General features: G+C 40.1%; 1 protein-coding gene across 18 annotated transcripts in view, besides 3 other annotated features; it reads right to left on the reverse strand.

Moving 5' to 3' along the window:
- The window catches only part of WDR27 (WD repeat domain 27), a 275,610-nt gene that overhangs the window by 172,013 nt on the left and 78,415 nt on the right, over positions 1–25,182 (reverse strand). For 16 of the 18 annotated variants that reach the window (XR_007059231.1, NR_146875.2, XR_007059230.1 and 13 more), the window contains 2 exons: positions 15,127–15,224; positions 3,787–3,889 (listed from right to left, as the gene is read on the reverse strand). Coding sequence is in view for 15 of the 18 variants with exons in the window: in XM_011535688.4 (XP_011533990.1) it covers positions 3,787–3,889; positions 15,127–15,224 (201 nt within the window). In the remaining 3 variants the exon portion in view is untranslated. Of the gene's footprint in view, positions 1–3,786; positions 3,890–15,126; positions 15,225–20,210; positions 20,963–25,182 lie in introns of those variants that run through there. The other 2 variants (XM_047418586.1, XM_011535693.4) reach the window with 2 other exon arrangements.
- Positions 18,584–19,122: an enhancer, noted in NCBI's record as "H3K27ac hESC enhancer chr6:170017112-170017650 (GRCh37/hg19 assembly coordinates)". NCBI's record gives its function as "activates a minimal SCP1, AML or CMV promoter by ChIP-STARR-seq in primed H9 embryonic stem cells {active_cell/tissue: H9 hESC(primed)}" and the evidence as "EXISTENCE:reporter gene assay evidence [ECO:0000049][PMID:30033119]".
- Positions 20,502–21,146: an enhancer, noted in NCBI's record as "OCT4-NANOG-H3K27ac hESC enhancer chr6:170019030-170019674 (GRCh37/hg19 assembly coordinates)". NCBI's record gives its function as "activates a minimal SCP1, AML or CMV promoter by ChIP-STARR-seq in naive and primed H9 embryonic stem cells {active_cell/tissue: H9 hESC(naive and primed)}" and the evidence as "EXISTENCE:reporter gene assay evidence [ECO:0000049][PMID:30033119]".
- Positions 21,147–21,791: an enhancer, noted in NCBI's record as "OCT4-NANOG-H3K27ac hESC enhancer chr6:170019675-170020319 (GRCh37/hg19 assembly coordinates)". NCBI's record gives its function as "activates a minimal SCP1, AML or CMV promoter by ChIP-STARR-seq in naive H9 embryonic stem cells {active_cell/tissue: H9 hESC(naive)}" and the evidence as "EXISTENCE:reporter gene assay evidence [ECO:0000049][PMID:30033119]".

Raw genomic sequence — 25,182 nt, forward strand, 5'->3', positions numbered from 1 at the left:
CTCACCCTTTGTAAGGACCCCACTCCCATGGTAATGGCATTAATCCTTGCAGGAGGGCCAGCTCTCATGGCCTAATCCACCTCTTAAAGTTCCCACCTCTGAATACTGCTAGAATGGCAAGTAAATTTCAACATGAGTTCTGGAGGAGACATTCAAACCTAGCTAGTGTCCCCAAGAGAAAGAACGGGGAAACGAGAGATGTGCAGAGGAGGAAAGGCCACTTGGAGATGGACGCAGAGGCCAGCATGACGCAGCCACACACCAAGGAACCCCAGGGACTGTAGCAGCCACAGAGGCCAGGGAAGCGTGAGGGGTTCCTCCCTTGGACCCTGCAGAAGGGGCCAGCCCTGCTGATGCTTTCATCTCAGACTTCTGGCCTCCAGAGCCGACAGAAAATAAGTGTCTATTTTTTTAACCCTTTTCCTGTTTAGAATTTAAAAATGCAGGTTACTGCCAGCGCTCATTTAACTTTACATAAACGTGCTATTTGAGGCTGAAGCAAATTTGAATGATTTTCAACGTGAAAATAAAATATAAAAACTGTTCTTGAAGTTATTTCTTTTTTTTTATTATACTTTAAGTTTTAGGGTACATGTGCACAACGTGCAGGTTTGTTACATATGTATACATGTGCCATGTTGGTGTGCTGCACCCATTAACTCGTCATTTAACATTAGGTATATCTCCTAATGCTATCCCTCCCCCCTCCCCCCACACCACAACAGGCCCTGGTGTGTGATGTTCCCCTTCCTGTGTCCATGTGTTCTCAAAAACAATAAAGCTTTTCAAAAGAGCACAGAGGACAATACCATCATGATTTGGAAGTGAACAAAGATTATTTAAACAGGACAGGAGAAGCACTAGACAAAAAGAAGAGATTGGTATTTGACATAGAGCTATTCAGTAACATCTATAATTTAGCTGAATTGTTCACATTAGTTATGGTTTATTTATTTATGGACTTTTTTTGGTTGGTAAGCTATTAATTATTGCCTCAATTTCAGAGCCTGTTATTGGTCTATTCAGAGATTCAACTTCTTCCTGGTTTAGTCTTGGGAGAGTGTACGTGTCGAGGAATTTATCCATTTCTTCTAGATTTTCTAGTTTATTTGCGTAGAGGTGTTTATAGTATTCTCTGATGGTAGTTTGTATTTCTGTGGGATTGGTGGTGATATCCCCTTTATTGTTTTTTATTGCATCTATTTGATTCTTCTCTCTTTTCTTCTTTATTAGTCCTGCTAGCGGTCTATCAATTTTGTTGATCTTTTCAAAAAACCGGCTCCTGGATTCACTGATTTTTTGAAGGGTTTTTTGTGTCTCTATTTCCTTCAGTTCTGCTCTGATCTTAGTTATTTCTTGCCCTCTGTTAGCTTTTGAATGTGTTTGCTCTTGCTTCTCTAGTTCTTTTAATTGTGATGTTAGGGTGTCAATTTTTAGATCTTTCCTGCTTTCTCTTGTGGGCATTTAGTGCTATAAATTTCCCTCTACACACTGCTTTGAATGTGTCCCAGAGATTCTGGTATGTTGTGTCTTTGTTCTCGTTGGTTTCAAAGAACATCTTTATTTCTGCCTTCATTTCGTTATGTACCCAGTAGTCATTCCGGAGCAGGTTGTTCAGTTTCCATGTAGTTGAGCGGTTTTGAGTGCGTTTCTTAATCCTGAGTTCCAGTTTGTTCGCACTGTGGTCTGAGAGACAGTTTGTTATAATTTCTGCTCTTTTACATTTGCTGAGGAGTGCTTTACTTCCAACTATGTGGTCAATTTTGGAATAGGCATGGTGTGGACCTCCAGCAAACTCCAACAGACCTGCAGCTGAGGGTCCTGACTGTTAGAAGGAAAACTAACAAACAGATATGACATCCACACCAAAACCCCATCTATACATCACCATCATCAAAGACCAAAGGTAGATAAAACCACAAAGATGGGGAAAAAACAGAGCAGAAAACCTGGAAACTCTAAAAATCAGAGCACCACTCCTCCTCCAAAGGAATGCAGCTCCTCACCAGCAACAGAACAAAGCTGGACGGAGAATGACTTTGACAAGTTGAGAGAAGAAGGCTTCGGACGATCAAACTACTCCGAGCTAAAGGAGGAAGTTCGAACCCATGGCAAAGAAGTTAAAAACCTTGAAAAAAAATTAGACGAATGGCTAACTAGAATTACCAATGCAGAGAAGTCCTTAAAGGACCTAATGGAGCTGAAAACCACGGCACGAGAACTACGTGACGAATGCACAAGCCTCAGTAGCTGATTCGATCAACTGGAAGAAAGGGTATCAGTGATGGAAGATCAAATGAATGAAATGCAGTGAAAAGAGAAGTTTAGAGAAAAAAGAATAAAAAGAAACAAACAAAGCCTCCAAGAAATATGGGACTATGTGAAAAGAACAATTCTACGTCTGATTGGTGTACCTGAAAGTGACAGGGAGAATGGAACCAAGTTGGAAAATACTTTGCCCGATGTTATCCAGGAGAACTTCCCCCATCTAGCAAGGCAGGCCAACATTCAAATTCAGGAAATACAGAGAACGCCAAAAAGATACTCCTTGAGAAGAGCAACTCCAAGACACATTATTGTCAGATTCACCAAAGTTGAAATGAAGGAAAAAATGTTAAGGGCAGCCAGAGAAAGGTCGGGTTACCCACAAAGGGAAGCCCATCAGACTAACAGCTGATCTCTCGGGAGAAACTCTACAAGCCAGAAGAGAGTGGGGGCCAATATTCAACATTCTTAAAGAAAAGAATTTTCAACCCAGAATTTCATATCCAGCCAAACTAAGCTTCGTAAGTGAAGGAGAAATAAAATCCTTTACAGACAAGCAAATGCTGAGAGATTCTGTCACCACCAGGTCTTGAAGTTATTTCTAAACAGAACATCAGAATCATCTGAATCAGCAGAATCATTTATTTCAGAAAAATCAGATTCATCAAATGAATCTTCAGCCAATAACTATTCAGGAATGATGTTATCATCATGACTAGAAATGCAACATTTTCTAGAATTTGGCATTTTCAGCAATCAATAATTACTACATTTTGTAAATGAAAATACCACTACTAAAAACAGAATGCTACAGATAGAATGATGTTTTTTGTTTCCAAAGTCAGGATACTAGAGCGATGAGAAAATAATAATCAAAGCAGGATATTCTGAGGCAACATGACCATGAGGTGAACGCTGCAGCTGCAAGGCCACCCATGAGTATTCTTGGGGCGAATGGGAAAAGGGTTAAGCCTCCAAGTTTGTGGTAGTTTGTGGCATCCCTAGGAAATTAATACAAGCCTTTTAAAATAGATTATGGACAAGTGGATGTGTATTAGTACCTGCCCCAAATCCACCATGAGGCGCATGCGCATAATGTGGAGGGGGCAGTTCCATTAATATAAGCACATTGTTTCCTAAGGATCTAACTTAGGAAAGGATCACACCATTAAACACATTAAATACACAGGATCTGGTGTTTCACTAATTAATATTATCATCTTGTAATAAACAAGAAAATATAACGTGTAGCACAGTGTCTTTCAAATAGTAGGCACTCAACAAGTATCTGTGAAATGATTAATAATTAATTCATGAGTGATTAGTTTATCATGCTTCAGTAAAAACATCTTTCATACCTCACACATTATTAAAATGCTATTACTGTGTAAGAGTCTTAAAATATTGACCAACAGTCAAGCTGAAAGTAGGTTTCTATCCTAATATGCAACAATATTAAACAGTCTACACATTACCAAAGTCTAGACTCTCTACATTTATAGACAGTCAAACAGTACATACGTGTCTGTCCTCGGCCCCACAAGCCGCGAATCGTCCACAAGGACTGAAAGCGATTCCACATGGATAGCCGCGGGTTGGATGCCCTTCAAAGTGGCGCTCACACCTACAGGGAGGAAAGAAACACCAGGAGAAAAATCATTTTAAAATTTGAATGCAAATTAGAGGAAAGAAAACAACTTGTTGCTTTTCTTCACAAAAAGGAACAAAAGAATAATGAAAGAATATTTTATATGTGAGAATTATTAAATGGTTAATGGGTCTCTCTAGAGATATTTAAAAATAATTCAAACACTATTCAAAATCTTAAATTCCCAAAGATGACAAAACTAATAGTAAATAAGCTTTTATATGTGATAAATATTAAATGTAAACATATTCTGGAAATTTTTTAAATATCAAAACAAACTTAACAAATCTTCTAAAATAATAAATTATTTAGTTAAATTATTCAGAGACTTTTTGGAGGCAAAACATTCTATCGAGGGTGGTTAAGTTTCACAACTATTTAAAAAGTGCCATATAAAATTTGTTTATTGTAAAAAAATGCCAAGAAATTCTTGTTATTTCTTGTTAATCATGTCCTATGTAGTATAAATTCTACAAAGATAATTCTTTTTTTTTTTTCTTTTTTTTTTTTGAGATTGAATCTCACTCTGTCTGTCACCCAGGCTGGAGTGCAGTGGCATGATCTAGGCTCACTGCAACCTCTGCCTCCCGGGTTCAAGCAATTCTCCAGCCTCAGCCTCCCAAGTAGCTGGGATTACAGGCATTCACCACCACACCCAGCTAATTTTTGTATTTTTAGGAGAGACGTGGTTTCACCATGTTGGCCAAGCTGGTCTCGAACTCCTGACCTCAGGTAATCCACCTGCCTTGGCCTCCCAAAGTGCTGGGATTACAGGTTTGAGCCACCACACCTAGCCAAGATAATTCTTTTTTTTTTTTTTTTGAGACAGAGTCTCGCTCTGTCACCCAGGCTAGAGTGCACTGTTGCAATGGCCAAGATAATTCTGTCTAGAAAAATTCTGTAGATGGTAATATAGGCTGTAGAAAATAACCTGAACTGTAGTGTACTACTGAGAAAAGATTAAATCTTTATAAAAATGTCATAAACATTTGTCACAATATTTGTCATAAATTTAATTCCTTTTTTCTTTTACATTGATTTTTAAATTTTTACATTCTTTACTATTAAAAAAAAAGAAACACAAAGAGAAAAATCATCAAAGTACTCATAATCCTTCCATTAAATGACAACTCCAGAAAGTACTGTGGCACATATACTGCACATTTTCTCTGCATATGCAAAGGTCTTTGTTTTCCTTTAACAAAGTAGAGATGCATATTATGCAGCTTTATATCCTGCTATGTCTACCCCAGAATACACCATGAACATTTCCCTCACGATCATGTGTTTCTTGTCTAATGAGCTCAGTGAAGAGGCCATAGAGAGCAGTGGCCAAGAGCAGGTGATCCAGGGCCAGGCTCAACCCTGACCCCAGCTAAGCCCCTTCTCATCAAATGAGCAACTTTGGTGAGTTGCTCACCTCTGTGCTGCATTTTCCCCATTCATGAAATGGGCTTAAATGAGTTCATAAAGAAATTTCTTCTTACAGCACGTGGCACATTAATAAGTGCTCTAGAAGTGTAATTGGACTGGGTTCAGGAGAAATTTTAAAATTTTTGAAATGAATGAAGGTGATAACACAACGTAGTAAAGCCTGTATGATACAGTAAAAGTAGTGTCAAGAGGAAAGTTTATACCATCAAATGCCTATACCAAAAAAACTAGAAAGATCAAATTAACAACCTAATGTTGCACCTCAAGGAACAAGAAAAGCATGACCAAACCAAATCCACAGTTAGCAACAGAAAAGAAATTTAAAAGACCAGAGCAGAATTAAATGAAATAGAGACCAACAAAACAATTTAAAAGATCAACAAAATGAAAAGTCAGTTATTTGAGAAGATAAACAAAATTGATAAACCACTTGTAGACTAACCAAGAAAAAATGAAATCTAAGTAAACAAAATTAGAAATGAAAAACAGACATTACAACCAATACCACAGGAATGCAAAATATCATCAGAGACTATAATGAAAAACTACACACTCACAAAATAGAAAACCTAGAGGAAATGGATACGTTCCTGGAAATACACAACTTCCCAAGCTTGAAGCAGGAAGAAATAGAAAACCTGAACAGATCAATAATGAATAGAAAGACTGAATCAAGAAAAAAAGTCTCCCAACAAAGAAAAGCCCAGGACCAGAAGAATTCATAGGCAAATTCCACCAAACATATAAAGAAGAACTACTATCAATCCTGAAACTGTTCCAAAATGTCAAGAAGAAGGGAATGCTCCCTAATTCATTCTATGTGGCCAGTATCACTCTGATACCAAAACCAGACAAGGACAAAACAAAGAAAGAAAACTGCAGTCCAAGATCCCTGATGAACATAAAAACAATTTTCAACAAAATACTACCAAACAGAATCCAATAGCACATCAAGAAGATAATACACCATGACCAAGTGGGTTTTATACCAGGGATGCCAGGATGGTTCAACATACAATAATCAATAAATGTGATACATAACATAAACAGAATCATGGACAAAAAAATATATGATCATCTCAATAAATGCAAAAAAAAGCACTTAATAAAATTCAGCATCTCTTCATAAAAATCCTCAATGAAAACTAAGCATTGAAGGAACATACATAAAAATAATAAAGGCCATATACAACAGTCCAATAGCCAAGGTCATACTGAATGGGGGAAAATTGAAAGTCTTTCCTCTAAGAACTGGAACAAGACAAGGATGCCCACTACCACCATTTCTGTTCAATATAGTCCTAGAAGTCCTAGCCAGAGCAATTAGGCAAAAAAAAAAAAAAAAGTTTTTTTTTTTTAAAGAAGCATCCAAATTGGTAAAGAGGACATCAAATTATCCCTGCTCACTGATAATATAATCTTACATCTAGAAAAACCTAAAGACTCCATCAAAAACACTCTTAGATTTGATAAATAAATTCAGTAAAATTTCAGGATACAAAATCAATGTGTAAAAATCAGTAGCATTTCTATACATCAATAATGATTTAGCTGAGAACCAGACATCAGTCCTATTTACAATAGCTATAAAAACAATGAAATACCTAGGAATATAATTAACCAAGGAGGTAAAAGGTCTCAATACGGAAAACTATAAAACATCAATGAAAGAAACTACAGATAATACAAACAAATAGGAAAACGTCCTATGCTCATGGATCAGAAGAATTAATATCATTAAAATTAACATACTGCCCAAAGCAATCCATAGGTACAATGCAATGCCTTTCAAAATACCAATGTCATTTTTTACATTAAAAAAAAAAACACCCTAAACTTCATAAGGAACCAAAAAAGAGCCCAAATGGCCAAAGTAATCCTAAATAAAAAGAACAAAGCTGGAGGCATCACCTTCCCTGACTTCAAATTATACTACAAGGTTATAGTAACCAAAACAACATGGTACTGGTATAAAAATAGACATATAGACCAATGGAACAGAATCTAGAACTCAGAAATAAAACTACATATTTACAGTCAACTGATCTTTGAAAGCTGACAAAATCAACAATGGGGAAAGGACACCCTTTGTAATAAATAGTGCTTGAAAAATTGGATAGCTATAGGCAAAAGAATGAAATTGGACCCTTATCTCTCCCCATACACAAAAATAAACTCAAGATGGATTAAAGACTTAAGTGTAAAACCTGAAACTATAAAAATACTAGAAGAAATTCTAGAAAAAACACTTCCAGACATTGGTCTAGGCAAAGAATTCATGACTAAGAACTCAAAACCAGAGGTAACAAAAATAAAAATAGACAAATATGACTTAATTAAACAAAAATACTCTGCACAGCAAAAGAAATAATCAACAGAGTGAATGGAAAACCTGCAGAATGGGGGAAAACTTGCAAACTATGCATTTTACAGGGGACTAACATCCAAAATTTACAAGGAACTCAAACGACTCAACAAAAAATACCACAAATAAATCCATTAAAAAGTGGGCAAAGGACATGAATAGACATTTTTACTTTATTTAAAGTTCCAGGATACATATGCAGGATGTGCAGGTTTGTTAACATAGGTAACATGTGCTATGGTGGTTTGCTGCACAGATCAACCCATCACCTAGGTATTAAGCGTCACAAGCATCAGGTATTTATCCTGATCCTCTTCCTCTCCTTACTCCGCTGACAGGCCCCAGTGTGTGTTGTTCCATTCCTTGTGTCCATGTGTTCTCATTGTTCAGCTCCCACTTATAAGTGAGAACATGCAGTGTTTGGTTTTATGTTCCTGTGTTAGTTTGCTGAGGATAATGGCTTCCAGCTCCATCCATGTCCCTGCAAAAAACATGATCTTATTCCTTTTTATGGTTGCCTAGTATTCCATGGTGTATATGTACCACGTTTTCTTTATCCAGTCTATCACTGATGGGCATCTGGGTTGATTCCATGTGTTTGCTATTGTGAATAGTGCTGCAATGAACATATGCATGCATGTATCTTTATAATAGAATGATTTATATTCCTTTGGGTATATACCCAGTAATGGGATTGCTGGGTCAAATGATATTTCTGGTTCTAGGCCTTTGAGTAAATGCCACATTGTCTTCCACAATGGTTGAACTAATGTACGTTCCCACCAACAGTATAAAAGCCTTTTAAAAGAGGATATACAAATGGCCAGCAAGCATATGAAAAATGCTCAACATCACTAATCATCAGAGAAATGCAAATTAAAACCACAATGAGATTTCATCTTACACCAGTCAGAATGGCTATTACTAAAAAAGCAAAAAGTAACAGATACTGTCAAGGATGCAGGGAAAAGGGAAAGTTTATACAATGCTGATGGGAATGTAAATTAGTACAACCTCTACGCAAAACAATGTGAAGATCTCTCAAAGAACTAAAAATATAACTACCGTTCATTTCAGAAACCCCACTGCTGGGTATCTACCAAAAGAAAAAGAAGTCATGATTTCAAAAAGACACATGCACTCATATGTTTATTGCAACACTGTTTATAATACCAAAGACATGGAATCAATCTAAGTGCCCATTAACAGGCGACTGAATAAAGAAAATGTAGTATACTTGTGTGTGTATACACACACACACACACACACACACACACACATATAATATAATATTATTCAGCCATGAAAAAAATGAAATCATGTCTTTTGCAGCACATGGATGGAAGTAGAGGGCATTATCTTAAGTGAAACAACTCAGAAACAGAACGACAAATACCACATGTTCCCACCTATGTGTGGCAGATAAATAATGTGTACACATGGACATAGAGTATGAAACCATAGACACTGGAGACTCAGAAGGGTAGAGGGTGGGAAGGGGATGCAGGAAGAAAAATTATTTAATGGGCAGAATGCACATTATTTGAGTGATGGATACCTTAAAAGCCCGGACTTCACCACTACAAATCTAACCATGTAACAAAATTACACTTGCACCTCCTAAATATATACAAATAAAAAATAAATAAGCAATAATCACTAGAAAATGGATGTTGTTGGCTGTTTGCTGAGTACTAAGAAGATGCCAGGAGTTAACTACACAGTCATGCATCACTTAATGCCGGGGATACATTCCAAGAAATATGTCGTTAAGCAATTTTGTCCCTGTGTGAATGTCACAGAGTGTACTTACACATACCTAGATGGTGTAGCCTACTACACACCTAAGCTGTGTGGTGTAGCCTATTGCTCCTAGGCTACAAACATGTATAGCATGCAACTGTACTAAGCAACTGTAACACAATGGTAATTATTAATATACCTAAACAAAGAAAAGGCACAGTAAATATATGGTATAAAAGGAAAATGAAATCTCCATACTGTTTTCCATGGAACTAAAAGTAGATTTCTTACAGCACTAAAAGCAGATCTGGCATACAATCCAGCAGTCTCACTACTTGGTATCTACCCAAAGGAAAATAAGTCATTATATCACGAAGACACTGTGTGTGTATGTTTATTGCAGTACAATTCACAATTGTAAAGATATGGAACCAATCTAAGTGCCCATCGACCAATGTATTAGTCCATTTTAATGCTGCTGATAAAGACATACCCTAGACTGGGCAATTTACAAAAGAAAGAGGTTTAATTAAACTTACAGTTGCACATGCCTGGGAAAGCCTCACAATCATGGTGGAAGGCAAGGAGGGGCAAGTCCCATCTTACATGAATGGCAACAAGCAAAGACAGAATGAGGAAGAAACCTCTGATAAAACCATCGGATCTCATGAGACTTATTCACTACCACAAGAACAGTATGGGGGAAACTGCCCACATGATTCAATTATTTCCAACCAGGTCCCTCCCACAACACATGGGAATTATGGGAGTACAATTCAAGATGAGATTTGGGTGGGGACACAGAGCCAAACCATATCATTCCACCCCGGCCTTCCAAATCTCATGTCCTCACATTTCAAAACCAACCATGCCTTCCCAACAGTCCTTCAAAGTCTTAACTCATTTCAGCATTAACCCAAAAGTCCACAGTCCAAAGTCTCATCTGGGACAAGCCAAGTCCCTTCTGCCTATGAGCCTGTAATATCAAAAGCAAGCTAGTTACTTCCTAGATACAATGGGGGTACAGGCATTGGGTAAATACAGTCATTCCAAATGGGAGAAACTGGCCAAAACAAAGGGGCTAGAGGCCCCATTCAAGTATGAAATCCAGTGCGGCAGTCAAATCTTAAAGCTCCAAAATGATCTCCTTTGACATCAAGTCTCACATCCAGGTCACACTGATGCAAGAGGTGGGTTCCCATGGTCGTGGGCAGCTCTGTCCCTGTGGCTTTGCGGAGCATAACCTCCCTCCCAGCTGCTTTCACAGCCTGGTGTTGAGTGTCTGCAGCTTTTCCGTGCTCATGGTGCAAGCTGTAGATGGATCTATCATTCTGGGGTCTGGAGGATGGTGGCCCTCTTCTCACAGCTCCACTAGGCAGTGCCCCATTAGGGACTCTGTGTGGAGGCTCTGACCCCACAATTCCCCTTTGCACTGCCCTAGCAGAGGTTCTCCAAGGGAGCCCCACCCCTACAGAAAACATCTGCGTGGGCATCCAGGTGCTTCCATACATCTCCTGAAATCTAGGCAGAGGATCCCAAACTTCAGTGCTTGACTTCTGTGCACCCGTAGGCCCAACATGATGTAGAAGCTGCCAAGGACTGGGGCTTGCACCCTCTGAAGCCATGGCATGAGCTCTATGTTGGCCCCTTTCAGCCATGGCTGGAGCGGCTGGGACACAGGGCACCAAGTCCCAGGCTGCACACAGCTCAGGGACCCTGGGCCAACCCATGAAACCACTTTTTCCTCCCAGACCTCTGGGTCTGTGATGGGAGGGGCTGCCATGAGGACCTCTGACGTGTCCTGAAGACATTTTCCCATTGTCTTGGGGATTAACATTTGGCTCCTCAGTATGTATGCAAATTTCTGCAGCCAGCTTGAATTTCTCCTCAGAAAATGGGATTTTTCTTTTCTATTGCATTGTCAGGCTGCAAATTTTTCAAACTTTTATGCCGTTTCCCTTTTAAAACTGAATGTCTTTCACAGCACCCAAGTTACCTCTTAAACACTTTGCTGCTTAGAAATTTCTTCCACCAGATACCCTAAAACATCTCTCTCAAGTTCAAAGTCCACAAATCTCTAGGGCAGGGGCAAAATGCCATCAGTCTCTTTGCTAAAACATAACAAAAGTCACCTTTGCTCCAGTTCTTAACAAGTCCCTCATCTCCATCTGAGACCACCTCAGCCTGAACCTTATTGTCCCCATATCACTATCAGCATTTTGGGCAAAGCCATTCAACAAGTCTCTAAGAACTTGCAAACTTTCCCACATTTTCCTATCCTCTGAGCCCTCCAAACTGTTCCAACCTCTGCCTGTTACCCAGTTCCAAAGTCGCTTCCACATTTTTGGATATCTTCTCAGCAGCACCCCACTCTACTGGTACCGATTTACTGTATTAGTCTGTTTTTGCACTGCTGATAAAGACATACCCGAGACTGGGCAATTTACAGAAGAAAGTGGTTTAATTGGACTTACAGTTCCATAAGGCTGGGGCAGCCTCACAATCATGGTGGAAGGCAAGGAGGAGCAAGCCCCGTCTTACATGGTTGGCAGCAGGGTAAAGACAAAATGAGGAAGACACAAAAGCAGAAACCCCTGACAAAACCATCAGATCTCATGAGACTTATTCACTACCACAAGAACAGTATGGGGGAAAATGCCCCCATTATTTAATCATCTCCCACTGGGTCCCTCCCACAACACATGGGAATTACGGGAGTACAAGTCAAGATGAGATTTGGGTGGGGACACAGCCAAACCATATCAACTAATGAGTGAAAAAAGAAAATGTGGTATATAGACACCATGAAATACTACTACTCAGCCATAAAAAAGAACAAAAGAATGTCTTTTGCAGCAGCTTGGGTGGAGCTGGAGGCCATTATTTTAAGTGAAGTAACTCAGAAATGAAAAACCTAATACCTTATATTCTTACTTGTAAGTGGGAGCTAAGCTGTGAGTACACAAAGGCATACAGAGTGGTATGATTGAATTTGGAGACTCACAAGGGGGCAGGTGGCAGGTGGGTGAGGAATAAAAAATGACATATTGGGTACAATGTATAGACTCAGGTGGCAGGTGCACTAAAACCTTAGACTTCACTACTATACAATTCATTCATGTAACCAAAAGCCACTTGTACCCCAAAAACTATTGAAATAAAAACAATTAAATAAAATAAAAGATTAAAAAGGGTGCACCTGTATAGGGTCCTTGCCATGAATGGAGCTTGCAGGACTGGCAGTTGCTCTGAGTAAGTCACTGAGCAAGAAGTGAGTGAATGTGAAGGTCAAGGGCATGACCACAACTGCTATAGGTGTTATAAACACTGGACACTTAGGCTACACTAAATTTATTTTAAAATATTTTTATTTCCTCAGTAATAAATTAATATTAGTTTACTGTAACTTTTTTACTTACTTTTTTTTTTTTTTTTTGAGACAGAGTCTCACTCTGTCACCCAGGCTGGAGTGCAGTGGTGTGATTTTGGCTCACTGCAAACTCTGCCTCCTGAGTTCAAGTGATTCTCCTGACTCATCCTCCCAAGTAGGTGGGATTACAGGTGCCCACCACCACACCTGGATAATTATCGTATTTTTAGTAGAGATGCGGTTTCACCATGTTGGCCAGGCTGGTCTCAAACTCCTGACCTCAGGTGATCCGCCCACCTCGGCCTCCCAAAGCTAATATCACTTAGCTTAAAACACAAATGCATAGTGCAGCTGTACAAAAATATTTTATTTCTTTATATTCTTACTCTACATGCTTTTTTCTATTTTGAGCTTTTTCTTACTTTTAAAACATTTTTGTTAAAAACTAAGGCATAAACACAAACATTAGCCTAGGCCTGCATGGAGTCGGGATCATCAATATCACTGTCTTCCCCTCCACATCTGGTCCCACTGGAAGGTCTTCAGGGGCAGTGAAATGCATGGAGCTGTCATCTCCCTCTGATAACAATGTCTTGGCCAGGTACAGTGGCTCACACCTGTAATCCCAGCAATTTGGGAGGCTGAGGCGGGTGGATCACTTGAGGTCAGGAGTTCGAGACCAACCTAGCCAACATGGTGAAAATGCGTTCTCTACTAAAAATACAAAAATTAGCTGGGCGTGGTGGCGCATGCCTACAGTCCCAGCTACTTAGGAGGCTGAGGCAGGAGAATGGCTTGAACCTGGGAGGCAGAGGTTGCAGTGAGCTGAGATTACACCATTGCACTCCAGCCTCGGTGACAGAGCAAGACTCCATCTCAAAAAAACCAAACAGGCTGGGCACGGTGGCTCATGCTTGTAATCCCAGCACTTTGGGAGGCCAAGGCGGGCAGATCATGAGGTCAGGAGATCGAGACCACGGTGAGACCCCATCTCTACTAAAAATATAAAAAATTAGCTGGGCGTGGTGGCGGGCACCTGTAATCCCAGCTACTCGGAGAGGCTGAGGCAGGAGAATGGCGTGAAGCCAGGAGGCGGAGCTTGCAGTGAGCTGAGATCGCGCCACTGCACTCCAGCACTCCAGCCTGGGTGACAGAGCGAGACTCCGTCTCAAAACAAACAAACGAACAAACAAACAAACAAAAAATTAGGTGGGCATGGTGGCACTTGCCTGTAAACCCAGCTGCTCACGAGGCTGAGGCAAGACAATCCCTTGAGCTCAGGGGTGGGGTGGTGGGGCAGGGAGGTTGCAGTGAGCTGAGATCATGTAACACTGCACTCCAGCCTGGGTGACAGAGCGAGACTCTGTCTAACATAAAAAAAAAAAAAAAAAAAAAAGCAATGTCTTCTTCTGGACACTTCCTGCAGGACCTGCCTGAGGCTGCTTTATAGTTAATTTTTTTTATAAGTAGAAGGAATGCACTCTAAAATCATGATAAAAAGTAGTAAAGGAAATAATAAACAAAAAGAATTTTTCAGCTCCATCATAATCTTATGCCACCAGCAATGTGATATGGTCAGTCACTGGTTAAGACATCCTCATGTGCAACATGATTGCTCATACAGATTCTCATCACTAATTTGAAATAATAATAGTAAACAAACCTGCCTGTAAGTTTTATTATTGCATTCAACAGTAAACAACAATTATTGTTATATCAAGAATTCCTGTCCTAAAAGATCTGTAAATATTTTGCTGATAAAACTAAGGTGCTTTCTAACTTTTATAAAATGTATTTTCAAAGTCTACAAAGCATCTAAAATATACTTGATGTGAAATGAGAAGTAATTTACTTAATGATAGTATATCTAAGGAAATGCCCTCCCAACTGTGACCTGAGGAGGTAGGAAAAGGAGAGTCAGGCGCCGCTGGCCCTGCGTTACGGGGGTGCTCGGTGCCTAGTGGATGGCACCCAGTGGAGATGGGAACACACTTGGGAGAGAGAGCAGTAATCACACCATAGGGTAACTGTGGTTTAGGAGATTCCAAAGTCTCCCTCAACATCGCTGACCCACAGGAAGGGCCTGGGGTTACTCTCCTAAGCCACATATAGCAGAGAGACCAGTACCTAGTGCTTCACCCTTCCAAAGTTAGAGCTAACTTTTCTGTGCATAAATCAGTCTTAGATTAGTCAGTGTGCACAGATTAACCACAACCTCATCACATTCGGAAAAGAGATCAGATTGAGCTTATATCTCTTGAGCTCCCCACCCCTGCAGTGCAGGGCGCAGGACAGCCTTACCTCAGGGTTCTCAGGTCCCACAGTCTCATCCCATCGCCAATGGCCGTGGTCAGGAAAAGGTTATAAGCCTGAGGCTGTTGGGTTGTAAATGATGAACCCTATAATTTTAAGGGGGAAATCAAGATGTACTTTCAAAGGTTGAGTTAATAAGCGTTATGCTAATGATATCTCATAATAGCTGATTCTCAAGTAAGATATTAACACAAAGTTTTTTTCTTACTTGTAACAATTTCAGAATTGGACTCCAAAAACTTCTACATAAAGTAGTTAATGAGGGTATATTTTGACCTAGAGAAGTATTGATGTATGTTCTCTTTATGTGTAATGCCACTGAGAGTTACAGAAGTACAAAATGGTCAAAAAAGACCAAGATAGTAATACACCAAAATTCATGTTTACAGTATAGACCATAAGCCACATTCAATAAATCATCTGAAAGATGCCCCTCAACAAGGCACTTAAAGTTAAGGTGAGTTATTAATCTGCCAATTATCAACCCCTAAATGACACTCAGCAGGCTCCTGCGATGACTATGTGGGTGAACTCCCACGGGGCCTCGAGTCCCGGCCCTGACTCTGACTTGCTCCCCTTTCCCTGTGCTGCTATCAGAAGCAATTCTCACTAAGTGGAACTGAACTCAGCTCCATCTACAGAACCATTTGACACAAAACATCACCTAAACATTTGTGATAAATAATGATTTCCATCCTCCTTCTAGGTCAAGAATATTAAAAATATTAAGACAAATTTCATGAAGGATAGATGTGCCTACAAGTCATCCTTCATTTGCAAACAGAAAATAAAGGCTTACTAAGTTCAATAATAACAAACTAATAATAATTCAAGGCCAGGTACAGTGGCTTACACCTGTAATCCCAGCACTTTGGGAGGCCAAGGCGGGCAGATCACCTGAGGTCAGGAAAATGTGAGACCAACCTGGCCAACATGGTGAAATCCCGTCTCTATAAAAATACAAAAAATTAGCCAGGTGTGGTGGTGTGTGCCTGTAATCCCAGCTACTGGGGAGACTGAGGCAGGAGAATCGCTTCAACCCAGGAGGTGAAAGTTGCAGTGAGCCAAGATCACACCACTGCACTCCAGCCTGGGCAACAGAGTGAGACTCCATCTCAAAAAAAAAAAAGAAAAGAAAAAGAAAAGAAAAGAAACAAAGCTGTAATACATGTTTTAAAATAATAATAATTCACACTAATAATTGAGCAGGTATTCAACAAATATTTACAGATCATCTACTGAATGCTGGTGTTACATGAGGTACTCAGCATAAAAAGAAGAAAATGTAGGCTTAGTTTAACAAAAAGACAGAGAAGATAATGGCACTAACAACACCTGACAGACAGCAATTGCTAGTATATGTAGGCTAAAGAGTAAAAAACTGAACAGAACAGAAATACTATGTAATGACCAAACCTTTCAAGAGAAAAGGTAAACTTTTAAAAAATGTGTTCAATCCAATAGAGGGTGAGGAAGAAGAAATAAAAAAACAAAGAAAATTCAGGATAAGTAGAAAGCGAAGAAATAAAAAATGTGGAAGAGAAAGCACAAAATGATATCAAATATATGAATAATCATAATTGCAAACAGACTAAACTCAACAAGGAAAAGAGAGATAATATTAGGCTGGATTTCATTATTATCATTATTGTCATTATTTCACTTTTGTTTTAGGTTCAGGGGTACACGTGTGGGTTTGTTATATAAGTAAACTTGTGGCACAGGGGTTTGTTGTACAGATTATGTCATCACCCCGATACTTAGCCTGCTACCAATAGCTGTGTTTTCTGCTCCTCTCCCTCCTCCCACCCTCCACCCTCAAGCAGACCCCAGTGTCTGTGGTTCTCTTCTTTGTGTTCATGAGTTCTCATCATGTAGCTCAAAATAGCACAGTATTGATAATAAAGCCACATACCTACGACCGACTGATATTCAACAAAGCCGACAAAAACAAGCAATGGGGAAAGGGCTCCCTATTCAATAAATGGTGCTGGGATAACTGGCTAAATGTGCAGAAGGTTGAAACTGGACCCCTTCCTTACACCATACACAAAAATCAACTCAAGATGGATTAGACTTAAATGCAAAACCCAAAACTATAAAAACCGTGGAAGATAACCTAGGCAATACCGTCCTAGACACAAGAACTGGCAAAGATTTCATGACAAAGACACCAAAAGCAATTGCAACAAAAGCAAAAATTGACAAGTGGGATCTAATTAAACTTTAGAGCTTCTGCACAGCAAAATAAAGTATCAACAGAGTAAACAGACAACCTACAGAATGGGAGAAAATATTTGCAAACTATGCATCTAACAAAGGTCTAATATCCAGCATCTATAAGGAACTTACGCTGGATTTTAAGAAAAGTTCTGAAAACCTAATAAAAAAAAAAAAGTCAAAACTGAAAGCTGAGGCGCAAACAGCACACGCGAACTCTGAGGAGGCAAGATTATATAAGCACTAGAAAAAAAAACAGATATAAGGTAAAGAAAGCCTCATTAGAAACAGTTTCTTCAAAAAAATGATAAAAGAAATAACTGCACGTGAAAATATAAGAAGACTGAACTTAAATATCCCTAATAACATGCCCTTCAAATACATAAAGCAAAACTCAATAGAATTACAAGAAGAAACTAGCTGGGTGCAGTGGCTCACACCTGTAATCCCAAGTGTTGGGAGGCCAAGGCGGGCGGATCACGAGGTCAAGAGATCGAGACCAGCCTGGCCAACATGGTGAAACCCTGTCTCTACTAAAAATACAAAAATTAGCTGGGTGTGGTGGCGGGCACCTGTAGTCCCAGCTACTCAGGAGGCTGAGGCAGGAGAATCGCTTGAACCCAGGAGGTGGAGGTTGCAGTGAGCCAAGACTGCGCCACTGCCCTCCAGCCTGGCGATAGAGCAAGACTCCGTCTCCAAAAAAATAAGAAGAAGAAGAAGAAGAAACTGACAAGATTACAATCATAATGGTAGATTTTTAACACATCTCTCAGTAATTAAAAAAATCAAGCAACAAGAAATTAGGAAGACCTGAACAATTTAAACACAATTAACAAGGGTGAGTCAATGAATATCTGGGCAAACATGTACCAAATAGTCAGCAAAACCACATTTTTCTCACACACCTATGTAATATTAAAAACAAACCATAGTGTCCAGTTTTCAATAGATAAAAAATCTCAAAGATACCAAGAAAATCAATACTATATATGGAGAGTGCATGCTCTGAACACAATGCCATAAAATTAGAAACCAACAACAAAAAAGATGACCAAAAATTAACTCATGTGGAAATCTAAAAGCATACATCTGAAGCTTGGGTTGAAAAACATCATAATAAACATGAGAAAATATTTAGTGCTGGAAGATAATAAAAATAGTGCATGCCCAAACTGGTAAAGTGCAATTTCAGCATGAAAAATCAAGCAACAGGGAGATATGGGGTTTGACACCATGTGTAAGAGGCTAACGCTAGGCTCAACAATGCACAATGTTGCTGAAGCAGCATCCTTGTGGGGGATCAATACCTAGGGTTCGTTGCCTAGCACCAAGATTAAAGACACAGTCACAAATGAGCAGCAAGTTTAGGAGCGAAGATTTCATAGGCAAAATAAAAAGAAAGGAGAGCAGCCCTCTCTCTCTTTCAAGAGAGAGGGGTGTCCCAAAGGGAAAAGCCGGCATGTGGTGGACTGTGCCAGATTTTATAGGCAAGCTTGAGGAGGCGGTGCCTGATGTATGTAGAGCCCACAGATTGGTTCAATCAAGTGTGACTTTTACATGGTAGGCAGGGAAGGCTGGTTGCCCCACCCTAATCTTTTTTTTGAGACCGAGTTTCACTCTTGTTGTTCAGGGTGGAGTGCAATGGCACGATCTCAGCTCACTGCAACCTTCTCCTCCCTGGTTCAAGTGACTCTCCTGCCTCAGCCTCCCAAGTGGTTAGGATTACAAGGTCATGCCACCACACCCGGCTAATTTTTGTATTTTTAGTAAAGACCGGGTTTCACCATGTTGGCCAGTCTGGTTTTGAACTCCTGACCTCAGGTGATCCACCCACCTCTGCCTCCCAAAGTGCTGGGATTACAGGCCTGAGCCACTGTGCCCAGCCGCCCAACCCTAATCTTATTATGCAAATGGACTTTCTACTTGGCCAGCGCCATCTTGCCTGCTCCTTACTGTACACATGGCTGGCAGAAAAGAAAAGATGGAGCCACCATTTTGAACATGCCTATTCCCAGGTAGCCTTTCCTATTGGCACAACTGCCAGTATTCGCGTTTACAAGCTTCCAACTTGTTTGTCTAACTCTGCAGCTCGATTTTACAGCCTGCTCTTCGTTAGAAAAGAAAATGATTTGGGGGCTGTTCTTCATTAAAAGGAAAACCTTAGGGAGGATTCCCATACCTTCATTATCTGCCTAAGTAATTTCTTCTTAACTCCTGTATCATTGCTTCTGAATGGGTACTAGGGAAAGACCCATACCAAATTCAGCAGTGGTTATCAGAGAAGAAGAAAAGGGAGGGATGTGGGTAGGGTTTTCTCTGCATCAATAATCATTTCATTTCCTTTTTAAAAATACAGCAAGATCTAAAACTAATAAAGCAAAATAACATAAGTGACTATTCCTGAAATCTAGAATCATATGTAATAAAATTATTTCATTAAAAAAGCTGTTTAAACTTTTACACATTGTTTTTAATTAAAATTAGCTGTCTAGTATTATGTATTTATATCACAAAATAGTACATATTTTATTCAGAGGCAGGCAAAGAGTAGTATCCTATCAAGTTTTAAAAATATATAAAGTATCTACACCTGCTAGGACTTTAAGGATATCAATAAATCATAAAACACGTATGCATTTTCATTTTTTAAATGAGCCATTTAATAATATAACACATAAAATAGGAAAATATGACCATCACTTTTTGATGCATCTGGCACTCTTGTTAATACAATACTAAAATGAATTTAAAATTCCATTTGTCCAACAGAATTAAGATAACTATAGGAGTAATTCTCAGAAGAGATCATGTTAATGGTGGTGCACTTGGATGACTGCAAAAAAAAAAAAAAAAAAAAAACATTATTGATGCATGACTAATGTGGCTGAGGTGGTTACTAAGCTTAGAAGAAATTAGAAATGCCCTGTTTTATATGTTACTGGAAATACAGCATTTGGGCCAATGATAATTTCTGCTTCTCCTGTATTTGGACTTGTAGGATGACAGTTTGTGAGTAGCAGCCCCCACATGGCTATGGTTAGTTTGATGTACATTGTGCAACTGAACAAAAATGTAAGATAAGTTTTTTTAAAAAAGCTATTAAAAAATAGTGTAAACCTCTGTAACCTTACACTCTTTCCCTTTCATTCCATCAAATACCATTCAGATGTTTATTTTCAGGAAGTAAAACCCGTAATTTTCCCATAAAAAACCTCAGAACTATTTTTCTTAATATAACACCTCTCATCCAAGAGTACACCACAATGATTCACAAAATATTACAATCCCTACTGAAAGACCACATAGATTTGACAGGATTCAGGCTACTGTATAGTCATTGCTCAAGCTGTTGAAAAATGTAGACATTTTAAGCAGTTTCCTAAAGCAAAGACACTAAACCTCTTAACAAAAAGCTAAGATTTTAAAAGAGAGGAACTCTCCTTGAATTGGGAAATTAGACGGTCACCATGTCATTCCAGGAACAAAGCGAGGCACATCTACACAACAATGGCTCTTCACAAGGCCAACTTGTAAAAACAGTCTTCACCACAGCACTTGGAATGAAATATCCTATGCGCCTCTTGTCGACAGAAAGAGTAAAACTCTGTAAAATATTGGAAGAAATTTATTCTGGGCCAAATATGAGTGACCACGGCCCGTGACACAGCCCTCAGGAGGTCCTCAGAACATGTGCCCAAAGTGGTCAGGTGCAGCTTGGTTTTATACATTTTAGGGACGCATGAGACATCAATCAAAGACATTTCAGAAATACACTGGTTTCCCACCTGGGAAAGGCAGGAAAACTCAAAGTGGGGGCTTCCAGGCTCTAGGTAAAAGTAAACATTTTCTGGTTGACAATTGGTTGAGTTTCTCTGAAGACCTGGGATCAATAGAAAGGAAATGTTCAGTTTAAGATAAAAGACTGTGGAGACCAAGGTTCTTTTGAAGCCTCATTAGTGGCTGCCCTTGGAGACAACAGGTGACAAATGTTTCCTGTTCAGATCTTTAAAAGGTGCTAGACTCTTAATCTGTTTAGGATTGGGAGGGCCTGGAAGAAAGAGATCTAGCCATGTTAATAGAGATTCTTCACAGATGCATGACTAATGTGACTGAACTGGTTTTCCCACACAAAGGACAGCTTTGCAGGGCCATTTCGACATATGGCAAAGACACATGTTTTGGAGTGAAATATTTTTATTTTCTTCCTTGTCTTGTAATGTTATGCCAGAGCCAGGTTGGAAAATAAGTCATGATACATAAGGTTAAATAAAACCCATCTGACGAGAATTGATGGTTTTTAAAGCATGACTCCTCAGACCCCTTAATCAGAGCCTAGTCCTCACCCCTTTAGGACACACCTTACCTGCAGGGATGCTGTCTCAGGGAGCCAGCTTGTCCAGATGTCCATCAGGAATGTGACAAGAAAATGAATCTTGGGACCCCCAAATCACTAAGCCAAGGGTAAAGTCAAGCTGGGAACTGCCTCAGGCAAAACCTGCCTCCCATTCTATTCCTAAGTAAGATAGCTACAAAGATAAGAAGCTACAGACCTCCCTCACAATTTGCCCACAAGGAAATTCCTTGTGGACAAAGGACAGTCAGAACTCAAAGACATCCCTCCGAGGCTTCCCTGAAACAAATGCGTATCTCATTGCTTCCTCTCCCCTATTGTTTATGTAAAAATGATGATTCACTGAGCTAGACTAAATTGTGTATTCAGTGGAAAGCTGATCAAGGACTCAAAAGAATGTAACCTTTTGCCTCTTATCTACTCATGACCTGGAAGCCCTCGCCTCAAATCCCACTTTACCTGACTGAACCAAAGTACATGGTACACATATTGATTGATATCTCATGTCTCCCTAAAATGTATAAAACCAAGCGGTGCCCCGACCACCATCGTCAGGAACTCCTGATGCTATGTCATGGGTGCATCCTTAACCTTGGTGAAATAAACTTTCTAAACTGACCGAGACCTGTCTTAGATATTTTGATTTAACAAGGGGCTCGAGGTCCACCCCTCCACCGGCTTCACCACACAGTCCACCTCCTGTACTCTGCTCCTCCAGACATAGACATAGACCTGCTCCTCCTGCACTCTGCTCCTCCAGACATAGACCTGGCACCCTTCCCTGTGTCATGAACCTGCTGCTCTAGTTACCTGGTCAGCACAGAGCACCTGACCTTGTGTAATACACGTGTTCCTATGTAAGAAAATACAATTCTTGAGCACAAGGACTTTGCCCTCACTTCATCTAACTCTTCATTCACAGAACACTGCCAAGTGCACAGCAGCAGCTAATAGATATTTTAAATGAATTAATTAATAGGCACTTTAATGAATACTATAATTAAAAGCACATATACATATGCATACACATGCATGCACATATACATACATACACCCATGCACGCTCGCATATGCATATACACACACATGCACACAGGCATATACATACCCACACATACATTCATGCATACACACACACACACACATGCACGCACGCATATACATACCCACACACGCATTCACACATATACATACGCACACACATGCATGTAGACATACGCACACATGCATGCATGTAGACATACGCACACACATGCACACATGCCTATACATACACACACGCGCATTCACACATATACATATGCACACATGCACACACACATATACATATGCACATGTGCATGCACACATATACATACCCACACATGCATTCACACATATACATACACACACACGCACGCATATACATACACACACGCATTCATGCATATACATACACATGCACGCACGCATATACATACCCACACATGCATTCACGCATATACATACCCACACATGCATATACATACCCACACATTCATTCACGCATATACATACCCACACATGCATATACATACCCACACATGCATTCACGCATATACACATTCACACATATACATACACACACACACGCACACATATATACAGACGCACACACATGCATGCATGCATATACATACCCACACATGCATTCATACATATACACACGTATTCACGCATATACACACATATTCACGCATATACATATGAACACACTCAGGCATTCACACACAGGCACATATACTTGCACACATATACACACTGTGAAAGGAAAATAAATCTCTGGGCCCCCAAATCACCAAGCTAAAGGGAAAAAGTCAAGCTAGGAACTGCTTAGGGCCAACCTGCCTCCCATTCTATTCAAAGTCACCCCTCTGCTCACTGAGATAAATGCAGATCTGACTGCCCCCTTTGGAAAGACTCATCAGAAACTCAAAAGAATGCAACCATTTGTCCCTTATGTACCCAGGACCTGAAGGTCCCCTCCCTGATTTGTGTCTTCCTGCCTTTGCTTCGAGTTGTCCCACCTTTCCAGACCGAAGCAATGTTCATCTTATGTATGTTGACTGATGTCTCATGTCTCCCTAGAACGTGTGAAATCAAACTGTGTTCTGACCACCTCGGGCAAATGTCGTCAGGACCTCCTGAGGCTGTGTCACGGCACCCATCCCCAACCTGGGCAAAATAAACTTTCCAGTTTCACTGAAACCTGCCTCAGATGTTCAGGGTTCACACACACGCACATACAAACCAAATTTAAGGTGGGAGGAAATGAGCAGTGGTATATTTAACTGCTATTAGGAACAGGTATTGAATTAAGAGTTCAGCCCAAAGTCAGACTGTTAACACTTTACTCTCCATGGCCATTTCACTGAATGTTTATAGAAAAAAACAGAACCACTTGGAAAACAATATGAATAAAACAATCTCCACAAAGAGATGAAGAAATGACTGAAAACGAAGTTTAACATAAAATCTATTATTCATTATTTTTACCAGAGCTATAAAAACAGGAAACTTTTCAAAGAAGTGATATTTTTACTGTGTCCCTCCTCAGGAGAGCACTGCAGTGTTTCGACACGGGAGAAGCGTCCCGGTGAAACAGCCATTGCAAAATTACAACTGAGACAGTGAAAGAAACCTGACCTAACCAGCTCTATCTTGCTTCTAACCTCCAAGCCGTCCTTTTCATTCCTGGGCTGAGGCCAAACTAACTTGGGGAGGAACTTATAGTTTAGCTTTGAAACAAAGATGGTAACAACCCTTTCCCAAAACAAATCCCCTTCTTGCCTGGGGACCAGACTGCCTTTGTAGGACCTACAAATTAGCTCAAAGATTAGAAATTATGGTTTAGGAGTAATGTAGCTGGAGGCTACAAGATTCTGACCACCTCCCCCACCCCTACCCAAAATTGCTCCTGGGGATAACATCACTATTGTAAAACCTAAGATCAGTGCTTGAGATATTTTGCATACCCTGCACTGAATGGATCAGCTGGTACCCCACCCGATCAATAAACTGGTTCAGCTGGTCGTGCGGCCCCCACCCAGGAACTCACTCAGCACAAGAGGACAGCTTTGACTCCTGATGATTTCACCTCTGACCTGACCAATCAGAACTCGTGATTCACTGACTCCACCCACCCACCAAATTATCCTTAAAAACTCCCACCCCCAGATTCCTGGGGAGACTGATTGGAGTCATAATAAAACTCCAGTCTCCCATACAGCCGTCTCTGTGTGAATTACCCTTTCTCTATTGCAATTCCCCTGTCTTGATCAACTGGCTCTATCTAGGCAGCAGACAAGGTGAACCATTGGGCGGTTACCCCAGTGGCTCAGCTGTGGCCCTCAGCCAGTGACGGCACCACTCACCGGGCCCGCAGGCTTCACACAGAAGTCACAGCCTGCGTACCCACTCACATGCAGAGACAGTGAGGGTCCAGCCAGGGTGCC

Source organism: Homo sapiens, chromosome 6, assembly GCF_000001405.40.
Source record: "Homo sapiens chromosome 6, GRCh38.p14 Primary Assembly".
NCBI classification, from domain to species: domain Eukaryota; kingdom Metazoa; phylum Chordata; class Mammalia; order Primates; family Hominidae; genus Homo; species Homo sapiens.